General features: G+C 39.4%; 1 protein-coding gene across 1 annotated transcript in view; it reads left to right on the forward strand.

Moving 5' to 3' along the window:
* The window catches only part of DNAH11 (dynein axonemal heavy chain 11), a 358,801-nt gene that overhangs the window by 231,166 nt on the left and 102,564 nt on the right, over window positions 1-25,071 (forward strand). Inside the window, exons 57-61 of the mRNA NM_001277115.2 lie at window positions 4,754-4,900; window positions 10,223-10,336; window positions 12,420-12,563; window positions 13,197-13,379; window positions 15,037-15,138. Of these exons, the coding sequence (NP_001264044.1) occupies window positions 4,754-4,900; window positions 10,223-10,336; window positions 12,420-12,563; window positions 13,197-13,379; window positions 15,037-15,138 (690 nt within the window). The remainder of the gene's footprint in view (window positions 1-4,753; window positions 4,901-10,222; window positions 10,337-12,419; window positions 12,564-13,196; window positions 13,380-15,036; window positions 15,139-25,071) is intronic.

Below are 25,071 nucleotides of genomic sequence, written 5' to 3' on the forward strand. Positions count from 1 at the left end.
CTCTTCCTGGCCTGACTCAGTGTAAGGTAGTGTGGGATATTGAAGGGAGCAGACACAGCGGATTGCCTCTCTTGTCTCTGACTTCTTCAGTGCACGGTACTTGTCGTCAAGGTTCTTATCATCCTAGGATGGACCAGTATCTTTTTTGGTCTCAGATTCTCAACCTCCAGTGAGGGCATCATTTTCTGGCTAATGACTGTGGCGAGATCCCAAGGTAGAGCTGTTCCTCCCTTAGTGACTTGTCTGCTCCTCTTACACATCTGTGTCCTCAGTCCTGAGGCCCCTGCTCCCTCGAAGGGCGATGCCTCTAACTTGCAGGAGTAAATCAGGAGAGAATCATCACAGGATGTTAATCATGTGTGGGTCTGTACACATATTATCATTATTTCGTTGTTAAAAAAGGATTTCATGAAGTAGTTGTTACTACTATAGTTTTATATATGAGGCGTAAAGAGTTTAAGGCCAGAGAGCCAGTGAGGTTGGGTTTTAGACCCAGGTCTGTGTTGCTCTGATGCCCATGAGTTGTCCATGGCACTGTGCTGCCTCTCTGTGGCTGGAAAGAAGAGATTGGAATGAGAGACTCTGAAGACTTTGAAGAGTAGCCCAGCCTTATTCTGAGCCAGTCAGGACTTAGAGCTGGAGTGAGAAGAATCCTCACTAGTGATCACCTCAAGACTAGAAATACTGGTGGCCTTCTCAGAGTCATGTCATCAGGTCAGACTCTCATATGCTTTACAAGGATTGGGGCAGTGGTTTCCCCGAGTGGCCTGGGTAACCCACCTGTGGCTAGGCTAGAAATGAACTGAGACCCGAAGGAGGGAGCACCTTTTCAAATGGGCACCTTTTCACTCTGAAGGGCTCTCTGGCCATGTCCTTCAGTCACTCTGGGCCAAAGCACCACTTGCCTCTTTTTCTCTTAGTTTTCTATACCAAGAATGACTCTGTGACAAAACACTGTGATCTGTACTAATAGTGAGTAGATGGACCACAATTAGGAAAGAGAAACCAGGGTGAGTAGGTTTCCAGGACGGTTGGGATCAAGTGATATTAAGAATAGTTTCTAGGAAACCCACAAATAGCATATCCATATTTGTGCACCTTCTCCTTTCCTCTCAAAGAACGTCTGTCTAGGCCAGGCACAGTGGCTCACACCTTTAATCCCAGCACTTTGGGAGGCTGAAGGGGGAGGATTGCTTGAGTCCAGGAGTTTGAGACCAGCCTGGACAACAAAATGAGACCCAATCTCTACAAAAGAATTTTTTAATGAGCCGAGCATGGTGGCGCACACCTGTAGACCCAGCCACTTGAAAGGCTGAGGCAGGAGGATCCCTTGAGCCCAAGAGTTTGAGGTTACAGTGTGTTGAGTGGGTCACTGAACTCCAACCTGAGCAACAGAGTGAGACCCTGTCTCAAAAAAAAAAAACAAGTCTGTCTTTCCTGTCTCTTTTTATTCACAGCTTATTTTACTTTCTTAACTTTTGCCCCTCTCCATGTCAGTTTTCTTCTATCTGTCTATCCTCTTCTGTCTCATTTAAATCAAGACCCCTTTCCATAAGAAAGATTTTCCCTGGAGTCCTGTTGGGCTAGATAAGACGAGGAAGGAGCTCTGTTTCACAAAGCATTTATATCCCTTTGAATGCCGTCCTAAACTGAACCTGTTGACTTTGCCCACTATCAGGAAATGATAGTATTGTCACCCAAACTGAGCTTTCAATACTGTGGGGGCATCCTTAGCAAAGAGATAAGTGCTTCTGCCATACTTAAAGGTTGTGAGCTAAAAGCAAGTGGGGTACCATCCTGGACCATTCCAGTGGTGGCAGCATCTCAGCCACAGGAAAAAAGAAGAGGAGAGAGACTGTGATTTCTTAATAGTCACCTCAGTTACACATTGATGAGTCAGGGGGATGGGCAAGGAGAGAGACGGGAGGGCCGATTCACTATGTCTGCCAAGTCCAGGGCTGCTTGGGTCTCTTTACTTCCCCTTAGCTAAGAACCACAGGCAGAAAGTCTGTAAAGACACAAGACATCTTGATTGACCATGAAGTCTGATGGAAAGACTGACGGTGATTTCTTTTCATTAGGTATTTGTGCATGGAATGCTCTTACTATCAAAAAAGTGGTTGGAATATTCAATAGCTACATGGCAGTTTTAGAAATAAGTGGGTTATAAAAAGGGGATGGTTTCCTATGTGGAGAATTGGAGAACCATATTGCAGAAGATCAGGTTGTATGGAGAGCGTAATGCCTGTATATTGGGGCATGTATCCTCTAAGGGTCTGCCTTAAGGAATGCCACATCATTTGAAAACATTAGCAATGTTCCTTCTTTACAGTAAAGCTGTAAGCACCTTTTATAGCCAAATAACCTCTCTCTAGATGTCAGCTTAGGTCATCACAGATAGTCCTAGTGACCTTTCTTCATAGAGAAAGCCTTGCTTCCACGGCTTCAGTCACTTTGAATATTTCAGAGCTAACAGCTTCCTTAGAAACTGAAATTAGGGCTTGAAATAACATAATTTTGTCCTAGTCTCTTGGGTGATTCTTTTTGCTTTATTTCTATTTTGAGATGATAATAGATTCAGAAGAAATTACAAAGCATAGTACAGACAGGTCCCTGTCACATCTTATAGGTTCAATGGTAGCATCCTGCATAACTAGTACAATGCCAAAACCAGGAAAGTGGCATTGGTACAATCCACAGACCTTATTCAGATTTCCAGTTTTATTTGTACGTGTGTGTGTGTGTGTGTGTGTGTGTGTATGTTTTATGCAGTTTTATCACATGTAGGTCTGGGTACTCACTAACACAGTCAAGACACAGAAAACTTCCATCTACAGAAAGATCCCATGTTGCCATTTTATAACCACACCTACGTTACCCCCCACTTCTTCCCCACCTCCTGAATCCTAGTTCCTGGCCATCACTAATCTATTCTCCATTTCTATAGTTTTGTCATTTCAAAAATGCTATACAAATATGTAACCATTGGGTATTGGTTTTCTTCATTCAGCATAATTCCCCTGAGATCCAACCGAGGTATTGGGTGTATCCATAATTTGTCCTTTTTTATTGTTGAGCAGTATTCCACAGAATGAAGGTAGCACAATTTAACCATTCAACCACTGAAGGGCATCTGGGTTATTTCTGGGTTTTGGCAATTATAAATAAAGCTGTTATGAATACCCGTGTACAGGTTTTTTTTTTTGTAGGCATAAATCCACAAACAACCAAAAATGAAATTACTGAATTGTGTGGTACTTGGATGTTTACATTTATAGAAAACAGGCAAATTCTTTCCATAATGGCTGTGACATAATACATTACTACCAGCAGTGTATGAGAGAGCCAGTTTCTCAGCTCGCTTGCAATAATTTGGTGGCATCTCTAATTTTTATTTTAACCATTCTAATAGGCGTGTAGTGATATGGTGGTTTTACTTGAATTTTCCTGATGGATGATTCTTTTGACTATGGCCTAATCTAATACTAGTTTCATATGGCTAAAAAGAACTGAGAAGCATGTCACTATGCAAAGTTACCCTGAATTTATAGACAGGCTGAAAAATCAGTCATAGCTTAATCTATAATAGTACAAGTAGCAGCCATAGTAGTAATCATGCTTTTTAGATAGAGTGTGAATATACTGTGTTGGGTGGAAACTACAAGATTACTTGGATATAGTAATGGGGCGTCGTTCCACAAGATGAAACCACTGAAATGTCTTTAGCATTTGAGTTAAAATAAATGTAAATGGTTATGATTGTTCTTTGCTGCTATGATTTTTTAATGGTAATATTTATACTTTTGGAAAAGAAGTGCAGTGGAGAGATAATTATTGTGATGTGTAAAGCTGCTTTCAGATATTTCTGAGAACTGAGTCATGTTTTTTTTCTCTAGTACCTCACTTCTGCTTTTAGTTACATGACCCTCAAACTGAGGAACCTAGTAATGCTTTCTGAACCTGATGAAATTATAACTGAAAAAAATGGACAGTTCTTTTTAGCAGATGAATTCATGGATTCCTCGGAAGGCTGAGTTCTCCAAGAGCTGAGTAAGGTTATTTAGTGATGGACTGATGGGAGACGTGTATGCCTCTGAAGCTCACTGAGTTTTGGCCACAGCATACTAATACCCCAAACACACAGTTTGCTCTTCTTAGCAGGTATTAAGTTGAATATTGGGTTAGCTTCATGATCATAAATGAGGTGAAAAAAATCAAGAGGCCTATTTTCTGTTTGATGGGAAGAGGTGAGACCTATCAGTGGGCATTTTAATATGCAGCCAATTAATCTGCAGTCAGGCAAGGAGCATTCATGTCGTCAACTTACTGAAGCCTCCAGCAACCTTCTGTTGGACAGTGAGAGGCATAGTTCTTCCAGCTCATCACCAAGTATGTCTTCCCACAACCTCTGCTTCCTTGAGCCCGAGCTGCCTAGGACCCAAAAGCAGACGTGGGTAAAGGAGCATGTGGTCAGACAGAGGGAAGAGCAACTTCCCTACTTAACCTGTTAGTGCTGACAAAAATTAATTATATTTCCTGCAAAATCATTGGAAAATATTATTCTGTTTGTTCTCATGTGGAGAAAAACAATGTGGCTGCATTTTTGCAAATCAGAAGACAGTGAAAATCAGGGTAGAGACAGATGCAAGATACAAATTGTTAGAGATCCCTGAATTCATTCCCAGCAATAAGCTCTATCTGGGATTTGTTGTGAACAAGGCCAGTGACGTAAGAATAATGACTTTTGCTTTAGGTGGGAGATCTAAAAGCCAGACTTGCCTCTCAAGAAGCCGAGCTGCAACTGAGAAATCATGATGCCGAAGCTCTGATCACAAAGATCGGCCTTCAGACGGAGAAAGTGAGCCGGGAAAAGACCATCGCTGATGCTGAGGAGCGAAAGGTCAGGCTAATTCCAACATTTAGAGTGCGGAGCTATATTTAGCACAAAATAAACCTTGGTAGGTGAACAATTTTGAACAACTTCCTCTCCAGGGAGCATAAAGTCTAAAGAATTATTATAGTTACACATGTAACAGCATTTCACACCGTGATTACCACTTGACCTTTCTTTACATTATGCATTTCCCCAACCTTTTAGCTCTTTTAATGATATGAAAGAACAATAAATACTGAGCTCATTCAAGCATATAATGGATGTGGATCTTGAACATCAGGCCTATTTGTAATACAGTAAAGGTCAGGAAGTCACCTCTGAGGTTTTTAAAGGTTTCCACTTTTTAGGCAAATTGAACAACTCAATTGTTAACAAAGCCCATTCCGTCACTTTGCAAGATGGTTTTCAAATTTTGCATTTTAATAATACAACTGGAGTTTATTATTAAGTCCTAAGCTAAATTTGTTCTTTTTGATTCGATCGAGGCCCTGGCATTCTGTATTATGTTTTATTGTTGGAAATAATTCCCTTTAAGATTATATAGATTCTGCTTTCTTTCTACTCAGGTTTCTAGCAATTCTGAAATAAGTACACTGTCTTTTGTCATCTTCTTTTACCAAAACGTCAGCTACAAATGGAAGACATAGTTTTGTACATCTGATATCTCAAAAGAAATACCATAGTAAACAGAAAAATTTTAATACATACTTGTTTAAAAATTGAGTGTATATGTGTAAGGTAAAAAATTCTTATTTTAGACAAAAAAGTATAATCAGGGCCTAATTAATAAAAAGTTATAAGTTGCTAACATTCTCACAGCCATTGAATCGGTAGTGATTATGCCATTTTTCTTGTATTTTATGTTACCTGAAAATATTTGAGTTTTTCCAGTGGTGTTGCCATTCATATACAATTGAGTTGATTTTCTTTTTTTTTTTCCAATGCATATTGAGCATGTTTTCCTTGCACAACTAAAGGCTTGAAAAGTATATTGAACATCAAAACTCTAAAAGGACAGTTTTAAGAAATAAGATTATGGCATTAAAATTGAAGATAAGGCACATTTGGCATGCCCTATGTGATCAGCGGGCATGTAATTCCTAATTTGGGTTGTAAATGTTTCTGTTGAGTTTCAGATAAGTGGAGAATGTCCTTAAAAGTATATTATTGGGCTGAGTACAGTGGCCTGTAATCCCTGCACTTAGGGAGGCAGAGGCAGGAGGATAGCTTCAGCCCAGGAGTTCGAGACCTGCCTGGACAACATAATGAGACCCCATTCTCCATAAAAGAGGGGCAAAAAAGACAAAGCGTGTTATTCCATTGAGCAATTAGGTATCACACATGATACAGTCACCGTTAGCTAATTCTACCCAGGGAATATTTTTCAGGCATTACACAAACATGTGATGTTCTAGTAATTATATCATAACCTATCATCACAGATACTTTTTGGAAACTTAAAATATAAATACTCTAGAGATTTTTTTTTGCATTTTTACATTTGAATTCCCAAGGAAAAATTACCCTCATAAAAGGAGAAAGAAGTTTTAGCAAATTAGAACTCATCTGACAGGTTGTTTAGTGAAGTTCTTCAAACACAAAGAAGGGACATACTATTTTTTATGTTTAATCCATACCAAGACATAAAAATAAAACTTCTAAACATTTTCATTTTATCCATGGAGCTGGATGTTAATAACAAATATTAACATCTATTTTGTCACCAGGCAGTGTTGTAGACTATTAGGGATATTTGACAAGCAGGGGTCTCTCATGTAGATTACATTGCAGTGGAAAAGACCGACATGAGACAAGTAACACATTGAGAAGCTGGATATTTTGAGATAAGTGCTCTGATGAAAATCCAGTAGAGAGACATGATGGTGGGAAGGAACTATTGTAAATTGGATATTCATGGAAGAAAGTTCTTTTGTAATTAAACTAGAAAGCATCTAGAAATTCATCAATACCTGAATCCATGCTCTGTGTTCACATTTGTCATATGTTCAGCAATGTGCTAGATACTATGCTATGCCATACTAAAGGGGGTGAATATGGACTGTTTCTGGTCCTATGAAATTGGGATCTCAAGTCTTCAAACATGAGCAGTAATTTAAAAGTAATGCTGCATAACTCACAAAGTACACAGCCACGTTTAACATGACTAAATAAATGTTGGGGTTAGAGAATGTCTTGCCGTGAACCTTGACAGCCCATGTAGAGAGGCAGGTTGAAATCATTGCTTCAAATCTATAAGGTAATCAAGGGCGATTTGAACCACTGGGCATTGCCAGCAGTGACTTCCAAATCACACAAGCATCATCAAGCCTGTGAAAATTAGTTCTTCTTCCACCTTTGTTTGGCTTCTCAGCTCCAAATTCTAAAATGCTGAGAATTCTCTCATTGCTTTCAAACTGTGTTCTCCCTTGAGTAGAGTGTAAACCTTTATGAGTAGAGGCGCCTTCTAAATTGAAGCGCTAATATCATCTCTTCAAAAGTTGAGCATCAATCTTGATTTGGAATGGCCATCAGTTTTTGTGTGTGTTTCTGTTCTGAATGTGGGTGGGCCTGGGTTTTAGAGGATCATAAGGAAATTCTTATAATCTAAAGGCAGACAAGTGCACTGTATCCACTTGCTAAGGCTGCCATGACAAAAATACCACATGGGGTATTTTGGGAGATTGGGAGGGTTAAACAGTAGAAGTTTATTTTCTCCAAATTCTGGAGGCTGGAAGTCCAAGATCAAAGTATTGGCAAGTTTGGTTTCTCCTTCTGTGACTTGCAGATGGCTGCCTTCTTGCTGTATCATCACATGATCTTTTCACTGTGATTACTTCTGCTGATGTGTCTTGTGTGTGTCCAAACTTCTCACCCCAGTCAGTTTGGATTAGGGCTCACCCTAATGACCTCAGTTTAACCTGATCACCTTGTAAAGGCCCTGTCTCCAGATACAGTCACATGGTGAGCTTGGGTCTTCAAAATATGAATTTTGGGTGGACACAGTTTAGCTCATAACAAGCAGTTATTGGGACTTCATTCTCTTTATTCTCTCCCTGTGATCACCACTAATCTTAAGAACATCTGCAAGGGGCTGTTGACTAATGCAAGGCAGAGAATTTCTGGTCTACCCAAGGGTGAAACTGTCTCCAAATTCCTGCTTTAACTTACAGTTGTAGGGGGAAAGCACACTCTCTAGGCACTCCCTGCAACTCTTCTCCTGTTTTATAGGTTGAGCCTTGCTGACCACTGCCTAGGAGCCACTGGGCAAAGGAAATTGTACACTGGCTTAACAGCTTACTGAGATATACAGAATTTTCACTCTTCTAGTATTGTCGCACCTTAGGGTAAACGGTATTGAGAATGAGAAATCAGTTGACCAACCTGAGAATCCTGTTCATTTGTATAAGTGAGTTTTTATTTAATGTTCAAGATTGTTTTGTTTATAAAAATTACCCAAAGGAAAAATACTCCATTAATAGTAAAGGAGTCAGAAAAGAGTAGCAGCTCCTAGGCTGATAGAAATGGCACTTTAGCAAGACGCAGTGGCCCATGCCTGTAATCTCAGCACTTTGAGAGGCTGAAGCAGGCGGATAACTTGAGGTCAGCAGTTCAAGACCAGCCTGGCCAACATGGTGAAGCCCCTGTACTAAAAATATAAAAAATCAGCCGGGTGTAGTGGTGCGTGCCTGTAATCCCAGCTACTGGGGAGGCTGAGGCAGGAGAATTGCTTGAATCCAGGAGGCGGAGGTTGCAGTGAGCCGAGATCATGCCACTGCACTCCAGCCTGGGTGACAGAACGAAACTGTCTCAAAAAAAAAAAAAAAGAAAGAAAGAAAGAGCACTTAAAAGAAATACTCTTTAAGGTTTTATCCAGTACCAAAAATCTATGATCCTGATTCCAATTTAAAATGATTTTTTTAATGATGCCATTATAAATGTTAACAAACAGCATTTATAGATTCACTGTGTCCTTATGGAAAATAAATAAACCTGAGATGATAACTCCTTCACTCACATAAACTCTTTTATCTGTAGCAGTGTTCTGTAGCATACAGAAAATTTTCATGGTCCATTCCTGGCAGCTTTTGAGGGTTGTGGTTTTGGAGTAGTTCTCAGTAAGCATGCAGGGTTCTCCGATTTACATTAACAATAGCTGTGTGTGTATTAGCAGGAGGCCACATATCTACCCCGAACCAATTATGTTTATAAAAGGTACAGTACACAGCAAAATAATGGTTAATCAGGAGAAGGGTAATTACTGCTAATAAAGCTGTAGTAGACAACATAATTTGTTGTGAGCAGTGTTTAATTTTATGGTATAGTTAAACCTGTTCATTTCAAATACATCTGAAGAAATATACTTTTGTTCACACTTTATATTCCACAATCACCATCACCACGGGAACCGTCTCCCATGGTGGCTAGATCCTGGTGCCCAGTGCCACAGCTTTGAAACTCAAATTTCTACTGAGGACTAAAAATTCACTCTTCCTGGCCTTTCAGATTCTATAGGTATCTTAAGGAGAGGAGGATAAGCCACTTCCCACCCCCGCCCTGTCTTCTCATTTTGGTTTGGTTCAAGTTTACCAGCATGACTTTCCTCTATATTATATATCATGTCAGAAGGCTGATGCAGCACCCTCTGTGTCTTGGGAAGAGGTGCCACTGGATCCACAAGAGGAGAGTGGGTATCAGTGTTATTGTTCCAATACCGAAGGCAGATGTGGGCTCTTGCATCTCTGGTTTCTTATCATGTCCGTGGAGAAACCAGTAATTCGTCTTCACTAAAATTTTATTTATAGTTAGGCATGCGATCCATGACCACAGAATAGAATATCTTCTAGCCAGTTGATCAAAAGAGCTTCAGATCTGTTCTTTAGGAATAGCCAACATGGCTTCTAAGCAAAAGTTAGCAAAAATTAGAGAATCCTAGGAAGAACATTTTGTGGTCTAGGTTACTAAGCTAGCCCAGATGTTTGTTAATCCAGGACTCTCTGAAAAAGAAAACTGAAGAACAGAGGAATCACTTAATCTTGCTTTTACTATTAGTGGTACCTTATAATTGAGTTAGTCAAAGCTTTTCTTGGAGCATTTTGGAACTTGAATCCATTTATGTTGAGATTTGTTACTGTGTGTTTTTTACATGTACAAAACTTTGTATATATACTATGTCTAAAGGAAAATTAGTCTGTTTAACAAATTCCTCACCTGTTCAAAGTACAGAGAAATGAATTATTTAACAGTGCATCTGAGTCAACCTCCATTTTTCTTTAGAGATATCTGTGATAATAATTTATACGGGTTTGTGTGCTTTTCCTCTTTAATTAGGTGACAGCCATTCAGACTGAAGTGTTCCAGAAACAGAGAGAATGTGAAGCTGACTTACTCAAGGCTGAGCCTGCACTGGTGGCTGCTACAGCTGCACTCAATACACTCAACAGGGTAAAGATAATTTATTGGTCCCTGAGTTTCCTCAAAGTAATATTTAAAGGTTATTAGAGTTTGAATAACTGAGCTGAGAGAGTAGCCCATTACAGCCAAAAAGTATTTTAAAAGGAAAGAAGCACCCATGAAATATTAAAGTTGAAACAAACCATTGAGGTCATCATTATAGTTCAACTTCTTTTCCCCATCCAGGACCCTGTTCTACGGCACCCCAATAAGCAGTCTCCTTTTGAATATTTCCAACAGTGTGGGATTTATACTCTTAGGAAAGGCAACTGGATTGTTGGTAACTGGATTTGACCCAAATCCAATTTTTCATATCATGTGTTGCTTTAAGAACTAGGCGAAGGATTCTTTATTTCCTCTGGAATATAAAGAGTAGCATTGATGAGAGACCCTCATGGAAAGAACAATGGGAGCAAAGATACCTAGGTTTGGTCCCCACCATTTCTTCGAGCTTCATGTTGTTTGTGAAACCTCCCTAAGCGTTCACATTCTTATAAGAGAAAGTAAGCTGTGTTCATCACTAGCATATTGTTAGGGAAAGTGAAATGGGGGGCAATGTTCTTTTAAGAGCCTGCAGCTAATCTCATCCTGGGGTCTTCTGCCAGACCTCTGGGGAGAGCTCAGGAAATCACTGGGCCTGAGATTCTTAAGATTCCATTTCAAAAAGGAAAGAATCGAGATTTTCACTGTTCTTCATAGAAATCCTGAATTCGTTTTGTAAGTATTTTTTGAAGAAAATAATTTTGACTGTGACTAAGGAGATACTTACATGGGTATTTCTTAGAGTACCATAAAACTGAAAAATTTTAAATGGAAACATACCATGACAGAACTCTGATTATTATGCATTCAAATAGCCTGCTGCCGTTAAAATAATATTGTTAAATGCTAATTAGCAATGTGACACATTAACCATGATATATTAAGTGAATAAAGCAGATTATAAAATAGGGTATTTTATATGACTAATTCTTTTGGTAAGAATATGTGCACAGAAAAAGATTGGCAAAAAGTAAGAGTAATTGGTCGTCTCTGAGTAATGGAATATTTATTTTCTTTATTGTGTTTCTCTAAATTTGCAAATTTTTCTCTGAATAATTACTCTTTACTCAGGCAAAATAGCTCCACTTAAAATATGAAGCTGTGTATATGTATAAGTTATAAAAGAATCTTGGTTAGCCAGCTCTCAATTCTTACTAGCATATTTTAAGACTTTGTTTTTGTTCTTGCTTTCACTCTGTTTCCATTCTTTGTAATCATATACCAAATAAATAGGCAGCTTCTGATAAGGGAGCAGAATCAGGTTCAACATTTGATAAGGTTTTATAAGCAAGAGTGTATTATGTAGCACATAAAGTATCACAGGAAATACCTGGTTGGTTGTTTTTGTTTTTCAAATCATGTATTAAATATCATAAGCCTACATGAGCTTCTTATATGTGCTATTACCTGCCTCAAAGTGTTTGCCCTGATACATATAATTTATACTATTAATATCATCTGTTGGATTAATCAGTGGCATCACCTGAGGAGACAAAGGAGTAGAGAAGAAAGTTCAGCCTATCTTGGCCCTCTCCTAGTTGAGAGTTCCTGTAGTGTAATGGAAGATATTTCTTTCTTGTACATGTAAGACAGAAAAACAAACCTAAGAGACACTGAATTAAGGAATTATGTGTCTGGGAGGGGCTTGGTTAAGATGCAAATCTATTACATAGTGGGATAGAACCTATAAATATCTTACAACATATACACATGTGTGTGTGTGTGTGTGTGTGTGTGTATCCTGGCCTCAGTGAGCAGGGCTCTGCAGGACTGATATATAGATATATAGATCATTTTTCTTGAAGGCAAGAAAGGGCAGTGATGTCTCCAGAGTATCAGAGAAGTGCCCAGCAAGAACTGAACCTCCTGGAGTTCCAAGGTGGAGTCCCCAGGTGGCAAAGAATTGCCAAATTGAGACTGGTTTGATAAGGAGAAGTGGGAGTCCACTAAAGCCTTGCTTGGCAACTTACAGAGCTTCTCCAGACTTCCGCTAATCCTGTCTGTGTACGTGTTTCTGTGTGCTTTTCTTCAGGTCAACCTCAGTGAGCTGAAAGCCTTTCCCAACCCTCCCATCGCAGTTACCAATGTTACTGCAGCCGTGATGGTCCTTCTGGCTCCTCGGGGAAGAGTGCCCAAAGACCGAAGTTGGAAAGCAGCTAAAGTCTTCATGGGAAAGGTATCAGCCCAGCCTGGCAAGATGAAAATCCTGATAATTTCCATACTGTTTTCAGTACTGTGGTTATGCTTAATAGCAAAAGATGTTTAAGTCAGAAGAAATCATCTTCATAGTTGCTGAATGTAATCTACTGTATATGTTCTCTAGACTTACAGCTTTTGTTTGCCAAGTTGGAAGTTAGCTTGGGGTTATGGCATACCTAAGTCAATGCCAGCAGCAGGTGGAAGGTTGCTAATTATTTGCAAAATTATGAAAGCAGTTAAGTGTAGGAGGGAGAAAATGACATGGATTTCTTAGGCTGGAAAAATGTTGCTAATGTATAGGAAGGTGAAGCACAGGGGATTTTTGGTGTGTTTTTTGCTTTTTATTTTCTGCCTTTCTTTTCTTCAAAATGTGAATACCTCCTGTGCTGGGACTGAATATTTTACCCTGGGATAGAAGAGGTTTTAAAAGTGTCCATTGCTAATTCTGACTTCGTACTATAAAGACTGAAAAAGTCAAACAGTAGGATAAATGCAGCTTGCCAATTTTGCTTTTGTAATGTGAGTCCTAAAAGCTGATTTTAACTTTTGATCTTGGAATTTTCTCTGCAGCCAAAATGGGTTCATTGCAATAAATCTTTTTGCTTTGCAGGTTGATGATTTTTTGCAAGCATTAATTAACTATGACAAAGAGCACATTCCAGAGAACTGTCTAAAAGTGGTGAATGAACACTATTTGAAAGACCCAGAGTTTAATCCAAACCTGATTCGAACCAAATCTTTTGCAGCAGCTGGCCTGTGTGCCTGGGTCATCAACATCATTAAATTCTATGAGGTATCAATCCTAAATTGATTGTTTACAGATGTTCTCCACAAAGGGCTGCAAACACATCAATTTCTAGGTCAGCGAGAAGAGTAAAATTTGTTATTTCATTTTCTGAATAAGGATATGTAGTTCTAAGACTAAGACATGAGCATGTTAGAGTAAACAATTCTCTACAGGAGGATATTTGAAATGTTAGAAACTATCTTTTTTTGGGCAGAGTGATTGGCTCCTTTAGATTAAAGAGCAGTAAGTAATTAGATGAAAACTTTTATATGAATTTTACTTATTTACATTTAAATATTTAATTCATGTTGACTTGAAACAACTGCAAATCTGAATTCACATCAAATGAAATGTAGCGCCTGCTCTCAAAGCAAATATTCACACCATCTGTATTGTTGACATAGTGAGATGAGGAAATAACCATTTCTTTGCTTTAGTATTTTAATGACAGGTAAGTTTTGTGCCTATATGTGATCTAACCTAAAATTTGTACTTTTCGGCAGTGTAGAGATAGATTATACTTTCATGTAGTCATTTATTTATCAAATATTTATCACCGACCAACTGTATCCCAAGCACTTTGCTGAGTACTTGATCTAATAAGGGAACAATGCATGGCTCACAACTCTGAAGAACTCTCATTTTTGTCTTAGAGGGTTGTATGTTATATTCAAATATGGAATTACTGAGAAAAAGTCAGTGTAGTCAATTCAATTCCCAAAGTAATTTTCATAAAGCCAGGTTATTTCCTTTATACTGTGGGGCCCACAGGGATAGGACTCTCTTGATCTCTCTCTCTCTTTAGTGGCAATCTTCATAAGGCAAGAGTTTAGACAGGTTGTGGTTGATGTACGGCCTCTCTGCATAATAAAATGTCTCAGCCCCGTCTTCTACTTGTACAGTAGGTGAAAAGACAAGCATAGAGCTTGACTGTGGCTGCATTCTGTGTTTATTTTGCTATAAAATAGGAAAGAAAATTTAATTTCCTTCCTCTCTCCCCACCAGCAGAAAAAAAATTGATCCACCTAAATTCTCAGATGGTCCATTCAAACAACATGTGCTTAAGGTGGTTGGGAACTTAGACAAGAAAGTGACAATGTGGTTGATGTTGTGTGGATATCTCCCACCCTCCTTTCTGTGTTGAGAATTTTTCCACACTTATTTTCTGCCTTAAAGGCCAGACATGATCTCAGCATTGGCTATAGTTCCTGCACAATGCAATTTCTAGTAATATGAGGCGTATCTTCACATTTTATGACAAATTGATTTTAATATCTTAATGGTGTTTGACTTATATCGCATTTTATGCAAGTACTTGTAACTCTAAGGTCCAGATTAAATAAGTAAAATAATGGTGGACCAGAGAGAATGTGGAAGGCTATGTGGATTGTGCTCTGCCTTTAGGTATTACCATGTCTGAAAAATAACAGGCCAGGTGTGGTGGCATACACCTGTAATCTCAGCACTTTGGGAGGCTGAGGTGGGAGGATCCTTTGAGCCCCAGAGTTTAAGACCAGTTTGAGCAACATGAGAAGACCCCATCTCAATAAAAAAAGAGAAGTTGCTAGATGAATTAGAGATTTTAATTGTAAAGCATCCATCCTATCTGGGATTGAATGATTACTTATCCTCTTTGTATCTGTATTAATTCATGAATTTTCAGGTCTACTGTGATGTGGAGCCAAAACGCCAAGCATTAGCCCAAGCAAACTTAGAACTGGCTGCAGCTACTGAAAAACTAGAGGCTATCAGGAAAAAGCTTGTGGTGAGTGCAAACTATGACATTGAAAAGGTTCCCAAGAGGTGGTCGCTGCCTCCACCTTAGGATTCCACCCTCAGACAGCACCATATCTGAGCCCTATCAAGCAGAAAGGAATTCGATCTTCCATGAGTGTATTTCCTTATATACCATTCAGTAGGTATTTCTTATCTGCTCTGTGGTAGATGCTGAACTGGGAAAGTGCAAATGTTCATGGTTTCTACAGCTAAGAAACATTTGCAGTCTGATAGTGGAAAGGGGAGGGCAGCACATAGTGATTCCAGGTAAGGCTTCTGGAGTCAGACTATCTGGCTTATATCTTGGCTCCACTGTTTACTGTTGCATCCCGTACAAGGTAGTTAACCTCTATGAGCCTCTGTTTTCTCATCTGTGAAACAGGTATTATAATAATAAGCATTTCTTTCTCTCTTTCTTTCTTTCTTTCTTTCTTTCTTTCTTTCTTTCTTTCTTTTTTCTTTCTTTCTTTCTTTCTTTCTTTCTTTCTTTCTTTCTTTCTCTCTCCTTCCTTCCTTTTCTTTCTTTCTTTCTTTCTTTCCTTTCCCCTCCCTCCCTCCCTCCCTTCCTTCCTTCATTTTATTTTAAGTTCCAGGGTGGATGTGCAGGCTTGTTACACAGGTAAATATGTGCCATGGTGGTTTGCTGCTCCTATCAACCAATCACCTAGGTATTAAGCCTGTCATTCATTAGCTATTTTTCCTGAATAGTGTCCATTTCTTAGGTAGAACTGTGGGGATTTAAATAAGAGTAATTCATATTAAGAATTTACCATGGTACTTGGCACATAGTAAGTGCTTAGAAAATATTTTCGGCTCGGCGCAGTGGCTCACACCTGTAATCCCAGCACTTTGGGAGGCCAAGGCGGGCAGATCACGACATCAGGAGATCGAGACCATCCTGGCTAACACGGTGAAACCCCGTCACTACTAAAAATACAAAAAGAAATTTAGCCGGGCGTCATGGCGGGTGACTGTAGTCCCAGCTACTCAGGAGGCTGAGGCAGGAGAATGGCGTGAACCCAGGAAGTGGAGCTTGCAGTGAGCCAAGATCACACCACTGCACTCCAGCCTGGGCGACAGAGCAAGACTCCGTCTCAAACAACAAAAAGAAAAGAAAATATTTTCAATGAATATTGTATGTACTACTAAATACCACTACTGTTTTTACAAATATGTAAACCACTCATCCTAGTCCAGCATTATCAATATATATGTGGCTATATACAGAAAACACCATGAAATACCGAGCCCGAAGAAATTAGAGGAAGTTCTTTAGTGAAGGTGGATCGACATGGGCTTTAGATGTTGGTTAGGAACCACCAGGATAACTAGGATGGGAAAGGTGTTCCTGACAGAAGGCAAGGAAAAGAGGGAAGGAGCAGTTGGGACACTTGAAGTGTCCAGCAAGTCAGAGCCCTGCAATGAATGTTTTGGCGAGTATGAGGGAATCATGAACAGGGAAATCATGAAAGATGAACTTGCAAAGGTGAGCATAGGCTTTCTTTGCCTTTCACACTACAGAATTTAAATTTTATCCGATTGGTGATATTAAGCCTTTGAAAGATTTTAACAAGTTAATGATACAACCAAAGTGAATGGATGCTGGAAGAAGAAAAGAACCTAGAGGCAGGCAGACAAGTTAGAAAGCCACTGTCGTGAATCCTGTTATGGCCTCAGCTCAGGCAGGAGCAGTCATGATGGAGGGAGAGAGATTACGTTCAAGGCTGGCTGATGAGATACAGAGAGACGGGAGGAATACAGGAGCAGGATGAGGAGCGTGAGGTGCCTGGCAGGGCAGCCAGCAGAGTGATGAGGCGGCACAACCCTGGCAGTTTACAGAAACCCCTGGAGCTTCAGTTTCTCATCTGTCAAGTAGTGGTAACAGCAACTCTCAAGGTGGCCATGTGTGATTTGGGGCTACCCAGCTTCCAGTCTGCCACCTTTGAGTGAAAACAGCTTGATTTTCTTTAGGGAAGAATCTCTCTGCATTGGATGCACTCAGGTGAGGCTTTTAGCAGGAGTGACCTTGCCTTTTCAAGGACTAGATATATGATCCAACCTTTCGCAACTTGATCCCCCATCTCTAGAGTTTAAGTCATGAGCAAAAGGAATAAAAGACTGAAAACAGAGTGCATACATTGCAAAGATAGTGTCCTGATGAGACTTGTAAACAGCTCCTGCTCCCAAGACCCTCTGGAGCATCTTGGTGCCTGTATGTGGTTCTCAGCCTTTCTTTCCCTCTTAAGAGCTCCCCCATCTACTTCGGGCAAGCTCCTTCAGCTTACATTAGCTAGAAGGGAGTAGGTATTTCTTTCCATCATTCCCACCTATGATTCCTGATGCATTAAGATACTATTTAGTGTGCAACATACAGTAGACACTTCATAAATCTTAGTTCCCACCCTCTTCCTATAGAAAAATCCATATGTAAGTGTGCCGCAGTCATGACTGGAGTTTGAGAGAAAAGTCTGGGTCAGGAATATATAGTTGGGAATGGTTGGTGTGTTAGTCTGTTCTCACATTGCTATAAAGAAATACCTGATACTGGGTAACTTACAAAGAAAGGGGTTTAATTGGCCCATGATTCTGCAGGCTGTACAGGAAGCATAGCAGTTCCTGCTTTGGGCGGGGCCTCAGGAAACTTTCAACCATGGCAGAAAGCAAAGGGGGATCAGGCATCTTACATGGCAGAAGCAGGAGTGACAGATGGGCCTTTTTTGTGTTGAGGTATGTGCCTTCCATACCTAGTTTGCTGAGCATTTTTATCATAAAGGGGTATTGAATTTTGTTGAGTGTTTTTTTAGCATCTATTAAAATGATCATACAGTTTTTGTTCTTTATTCTCTTAATGAGATATATCACATTTACTCATTTGCATATGAACTGTTCTTGTATCCCTGGGTTGAATCCCACGTGATCATGCTGAATAATCTTTTCAGTGTGTGTTGTATTCAGTTTGCTCGTATTTTGTTGAGAATTTTTGCATCTGTCTTCATCTGAGATACTGACTGTAGTTTCTTGCTGTGTTCTTGTCTAGTTTTTGTGTCAGGTAATGCAGGTCTCATCAAATGAGTGTGGAAGTATTCCCTCTTCAATTTTTTGAAAAAGTTTGAGTAGAATTGGTATTATTCAACTGTTTGGTAGATTTCAACAGTAAAGCCATTAGGTCCTAGGGTTTTCTTTGATGGAGACTTTTTATTATTGCTTCAATCTCATTACTCATTACTGGTTTGTTCGGGTTTTCTATTTCTTCATGGTTCAATCTTGGTAGAGTGTATATGTGCAGGAATTTTTTCATTTCTTATAGGTTTTCCAATATGTTGGCATATACATGTTCATAGTAGTTTCTAATGATCCTTCATATTTCTGTGGTATCCGTTGTTATATATCCATTTTCATTTATTTTTTTATTTGGGTCTTCTCTCCTTTTTTTGCTTTATAGGTTAGTTGATTTTGTTTATCTTTTGAAAAAATGAACTTTTCATTTCATTGATATTTTGTATTTTTTAGTCTCAGTCATTTATTTATGCTCTGATTTTTCTTATTTCCTTCTAAAAATTTTGGGTTTGATTTGTTCTTATTATTTTAGTTCCTTGAGGTGTATCATTAGATTTGTTATTTGAATGTTGTTTATTTTTCTATGTAGGCATTTGATGTATTGCTGTAAGCTTCTCTCCTAGTATTGCTTTTGCTGTATTCCATAGACCGAATATATTAGGTTTCCATTTTAATTTGTTTCAAAATATTTTTAAATTTCCTTCTTAATGTCATTGACCAACTGATTAGGAACATGTTTAATTTTCCTGTGTTCGTATAGTTGCCAACTTTCCTCTTGTTTTTCATTTCTAGTTTTATTCCATTGTGATCAGAAAAGGTACTTGATATGATTTTTACTTTTTTGAATTTGTAGAGACCTGTTTTGTGGCCTAATATGTGGTCAGTTCTGGAGAATGTTCCATGTGCTGATGAAAAGAATTTGTCAGGCTGGGCGTGGTGGCTCACGCCTATAATCCCAGCACTTTGAGAGGCTGAGGTGGGCAGATCATGAGGTCAGGAGATTGAGACCATCCTGGCCAACATGGTGAAACCCCGTCTGTACTAAAAATACAAAAATTAGCTGGGCGTGGTGGCACGCCCTTGTAGTCCCAGCTACTCAGAAGGCTGAGGCAGGGGAATCACTTGAAGCTGGGAGGTGAAGGCTGCAGGGAGCCGAGATCGTGCCATTGCACTCCAGCCTGGATGACAGAGTGAGACTCTGTCTCAAAAAAAAAAAAAAAAGAATTTGTATTCTGCAGCTGTTAGATGAAATGTTCTATAAATGTTGCTTAGACCTATGTAGTCTAGTGTTTAGTTTATCATTAATGTTTCTTTGTTGATTTCATGTCTGGATGATCTGTCTGTTAGTGAGCGTAGGGTGTTGAAGTCCCCTGCTATTACTGTATTTCAGTCTATCCACTTAGATCTATTCATGTTTATTATATATACTTCTTTCTTTGAACAAGCTTTCTACATCTTGCTCTTTTTAAACTCCCTCTTGAACTCCAGTGACTGTTAGATGTGCTCTTTTGAGGTCATTCTCTGTAGACATTTGTTTGTTTCATCATTTTTCCTTTTTTCACCTCTGTGTATTTTCAAATAGCCTGTCTTTGAAATTACTGATTCTTTCTTCTGCTTTACTCATTCTGCTCTTTAAAGCCTCAAATTCATTTTTTACTTCAGCAAACGTATTTCTCAGTTCCAGGATTTTTAAAAAATTATTTCAATCTCTTAAACTTCTGATAAATTTCTGAATTGCTTTTCTGTATTATCTTGGAGTCGGCTGAGTTTTCTTAAACTACTATTTTGAATTATTGATCTGAGAGCTCCCACATCATCATCTCATTAGAGTTGGTCATTCGCTCCTTGCTTTGTTTATTTGGAGAGGTCATGGCTCCCTGTTTGCTGCTGTCTCTTGTGGATATACTTCTATGGCTTTACATTGAAGGATTAGTTATTTATGCTAGTCTTTGCTGACTGGCTTGTTTTGGTCTTTCTAGAGTATGTTTGCTTAGAGGTTATTTGTAGTCACCTGTTGAGTTCCTTAATTCTAGATCACTGCTTCCTTTTCAGCACTATATGGAACATTAAGCTCAGGTTTGCCTTGACTCTTAGAAATGCTTGAAGTACTGACCATCCTGAATTGAGGGTAAGGGGCCCCAAGAAGATACTCTGGCTTTGTGTGAAAGCTAGCTGGGGGTTTGTGCCCAGAAGACCCATGGAGTGTGCCTTGTACAGTGTGGTGCTGTTGAACAGCCACTCTGATTTGGCATCTCCTTTGACTGAGATGAAGAAGAGAATTTCATGGGCTGGAGTTGCTAGTCTGACCTTCCCTCTTTATCACTAGATGCTTTCAGGGATTTTTGTCTCTGTAGGCACTTGGAATACTTCCTCTGGGTTACGGTAAAAAGCAGTTTTCTTGCAAGGGAATGTAAGATGGCTGAGTGGGAAAAATGGCTGTCCACCTCAGTCTCACTTTCTCCAGTGTAGGAACTACGAGTCTGGGGGGCATTTTCTACGTGCAGTACCTGAGTAGATTTTGGTAGGGGCATTGCAAATAGGGACGTTCTTTCTTCTGCTGCTCAGAGTTTTTTACCTCTCTGTGGCTCTGGGTAGTGTCTCTGAGTTCCAGGATGTTGCTGGTGATAGTCTTAGCACTGGATATTTGTTTTGGGTTTTCTGTAGGGGAGAGTGAAGCCAGATTACTTCCACTCTGCCTTTCTGGTGACATCCCTTTGTGTTCTCAAACTTTTGCACAACGATTCTTAGGTAAAGGTTAATTTTTTTTACATTTAACATTTAAAAATGTAAAATCCATTCTTTACTCATAGGCCACACAAAACCAGTTGGCTGCTAGGTTTGGTGTGCGGATCCTAGTACCTAGTACCTAGTGGGTACTGACCTTTGCTGTGTACTAATACTGAAAGCTATTTGGGATCTGGTACTTTATCATCTGCTAATTCTCCCTGTTCTCCTAGATCAAGCTTGGACTTTAGGGGAACTCCTTGGAGAAAATACTTGATCAGTTTCCCTGTTATTCCACACACCCTACACATCAGTGTACACCTCATCCTAACATGCGAACTCTCATTTCCTTTCTGTCTTCCACACTATGAGCTCCTTAAAGTCTTTTAACTTTTTATGCCTAGCACCTGACACATGAGAGGAACTCAAAAACTATTAGTTAAATTAACAAACAGAACCATATTTTATATTTTAATTAAAAGGTTTATTTGTTCTAGTTGAAGGACTCACTTTCCTTTTAGCAATCAACGAACGTTTTGTAACACTGGACTAGGCACTGGAGTCAGAGGGACACAGAAGGCTCAGTCCCTGCCCTGAAAAATCTTACAGATTTACTAAATGCTGTTTAATTTGCCAAGTGCTGCCAAGGGAGGTTGCATTGGCTACCACTGGAGCACAAAGAATGGAGTTGGTCAGTTCTGCACGTGAGGATGGGGTTGGGTGCTCAGGAAAGGTTTGGAGGAGCAGTTTCCTCTTGAATCCAGTCTTAAAAGATGAATAGGTTTTCACCCAGAAGATAGGGAAAGGGCATTTCAAGAAAGAGGGTCACGTGTCCTGTGGACAGTGAGTACCTCAACATGACTGAAGAGTAGAGTATAAATGTCAGTGTGTGGGGTCTCTTGTGGTGAAAAGTGAGGCAGGGACATGATCACACGGGAAATTGCAAGGTGTTGGTTAAGAGGTAAGTGTTTGTCCTATAGGCCAGAATATACTAAGCTCCCTAATATTGAAGACTCTTCTTAATGCCAAAAAGAGTCCCTGACAGTCATGAATAGTAGTTGTATTTTCTTTTAACCGTGTTATAGACAATGATTAAGGCAAACGTAGATTCAGTGGGCCCTAGCAGAATAAACTAGCCCCAGTAGGGATCTGTGAGCCATATATGAGAACTGCCACTGTCAGACAGGGAGAGCAATTGAAGAACTGCAGTTGGGCACAGGAGGGATAAATCGATCACATTTGCCTTTTGGAAAGATAGCTGTGGGCCAATGAACAAAGGGGAAGAGACTGGAAGCAGAATGAACATGGATGAGGGAAGCAGAATGAAAACAAAAGAAAGTCAAGGAGAGAAACTTGGGTTATAAACAGTTTATAAACTGGGTACAGAATGATGATATCTGAAAGAGCAAGAAAAAGAGATGGTTAGGAAGGTGAATGAGGAGCCAGAAGAGATTGTTATCATGGCGGCCAAGGGAGGGAAGGGAACCATCACCTGGAACAAATAGTAAAGAGGCCAGATACCACAGTGCATCTGAGCATAGGCTGTGGGGCCAAACATCACGTGTTACATCTTAGCCCAGTACTTTCCATCTTTGTGAGCTTGAGTAACATTTTTGCCTCATGGACTCTCTAATTTCCTCACCTATAAAATGAAAAAATCTCTCTGAGACTTAACGAACTGATCAAATGCATTAACACATGTCAAATACTTAGAATAGTGCTGGGTGCTTGCTAGAGGATCAATAACTGTTAGTTGTTATTTTTTTATTTTATTTTTTTTACAAACAATGATTAGTAACTTGAGAGAATAAAGTTTGTTTATCAGATCACATGTTTCAGTAAAATGGTAGAGAAGAACAAAGAAAAAAGTGATAGGAATGAAAGTCAGATTAAAATAGATGAAGGAGAGAATGGGTGGTGAGAAAAGAAAACAGCAGGAATAGAGTTTTCTATAGAGAAAAATTTTTTGAAAACAAGGAGAAAGGTACAAACAATATTAAGAGTCCCTCAGAAAATATTTTGGAAACTTAATCTTACTTATTTTAGAGTAAAATCATCTTGATGATTATATATTTGCTTTGAACTTTTTTTTTTTTCCTTTTGAGACAGAGTTTTGTTCTTATTGCCTAGGCTGGAGTGCAGTGGTGCGTTCTCAGCTCATTACAACCTCCACCTCCGAGGTTCAAGCAGTTCTCCTGCCTCAGCCTCCCGAGTAGCTGGCATTACAGGCCTGCGCCACCATGCCCGGCTAATTTTGTATTTTTAGTAGAGACGGGGTTTCTCTATGTTGGTCAGGCTGGTCTCAAACTCGTGACCTCAGGTGATCCGCTCGCCTCGGCCTCCCAAAATGCTGGGATTAGAGGCTTGAGCCACCACACCCAGCCCTTGAACTATTTTTTCTAGTACATGTACAGTTTACATATTTATGTTTATATTAACTGTATTCATGTGAGACACTAGTGCTCCTTTCAAATCTCTGAATACACATAAAACAGTCAGTGTAAGCTCAAATCAACAATTAGACATTCCTATGAAAGTAGTAGATTGTCACCTTTAAGCATGCTTGGAATCCTGGCTATTATACCAGGTTAGTACTTATTCCTGGTGAACATTCACTCATGCCCTTAAGAGTTACATGCCAAGGGCCAACTTTTACCCAAACATTTGCCATTAAGTTACGTTTTCATTCAATGAAAAAAAGGAACCAAAGTGAATTTGTATCCCATTTGAAATAAACTCCAGTGATATTTGCACACCAAGCTAACTTACCATGTGCTTGCTGAATGTGCTGTGCCATATTTTACATGCATTAAGACACATTTTATTCCATAGCACACCTACCTATGAAGTAGGTATTACTAGGAGTAGTCCCATTTTACACATGAGAAAATGTAAAGCTCACATAAAGTGAAAAATGAGTCCACACCACCAGGGTCAGTAAGAGGCAGAGGAACTAGAACCAAGACATTCATTCATTCATTTGAGACAGTGTCATTCCGTCACCCAGGTTGGAGTGCAGTGGCACGATCTCAGCTCATTACAAACTTGACTCCTAGGTTCAAGCAATTCTTGTGCCTCAGCCTCCTGGGTAGCTGGATTACAGGCTTGTGCCACCATGCCCGGCTAATTTTTTGTATTTTTAGTAGAGATGGAGTTTCACCCTGCTGGCCAAGCCGATCTTGAAGTCCTGACCTCAGGTGATCCACCTGCCTCGGCCTCCCAAAGTGCTGGGATTACAGGCATGAGCCACTGTGCCTGGCAGAACCAAGACATTTTTAAACTCGAAGATGGATACTCTTAACTATACAGTATACCATGTGTGATTTGACTGGGAAGCCTGGAAGTATTTACTCTGTCTCTTCACAACTGGAACTTCTCAAACATCTATTTTGTGAAATGCCTTCCATTAAGTTGGTCCAGGACTCAGAAGGTTTGGGTTCATAGCCTTGTTTTTTCACTCACTTGCTAGTGAAACTTTAGCAAATCACTCAACTGATCTTTGTCTCAGTTTCCTCACCTGCAAGTTATATAAGGCATTGTCTGCTTTATTCACCTTCATTCTCCAGCAAGCATACAGCAGAGTTTTTCAGCTGCTGTATGACATGCAACACCTCAACAGATTGAATGCAATAGCAGGTATAAGAATCTAACAGTCTTCTGTTAAATAAGTCATTAAAATTAGGTTTGCAAAAATCTAAATGTCATTTTTAATTATTTTTGTTTTGTTAATATTGTTATTTTAATAAAATTATGCTAATACATGGTGAGCTTATTAATATTAAATAAATAAATTTTTAAATTTTTTTCAGTTTTAACTTCTAATACCACAAATATTACTTGATATCATCTGTATGAACCAGTGCCCTTTAGGGTTCTGAATGTAACAGAGTTTTGAAACCAAAAATTTTGAGAACCATTGCCTTCTACTGTCCTAGATATTATTCTATAAATCATCAAAATTAATCCTCAAAAAAACACCCTTTGAGCTAGGTAACATTATTAATTCCATTTTTAAGATAATGAAGCTGAAGCATAGAGAAGGTAAATAAATAGCCCCAACTTGATACTGCTTAGCTGGTAGCAGCATCCAAATATCAACCCAAGGAGTCTGATACCAGAGCCTTCGTGTGCTTCTGTGCTT

Source organism: Homo sapiens, chromosome 7 (genome assembly GCF_000001405.40).
Source record: "Homo sapiens chromosome 7, GRCh38.p14 Primary Assembly".
In the NCBI taxonomy this organism is placed as follows: Eukaryota; Metazoa; Chordata; class Mammalia; order Primates; family Hominidae; genus Homo; species Homo sapiens.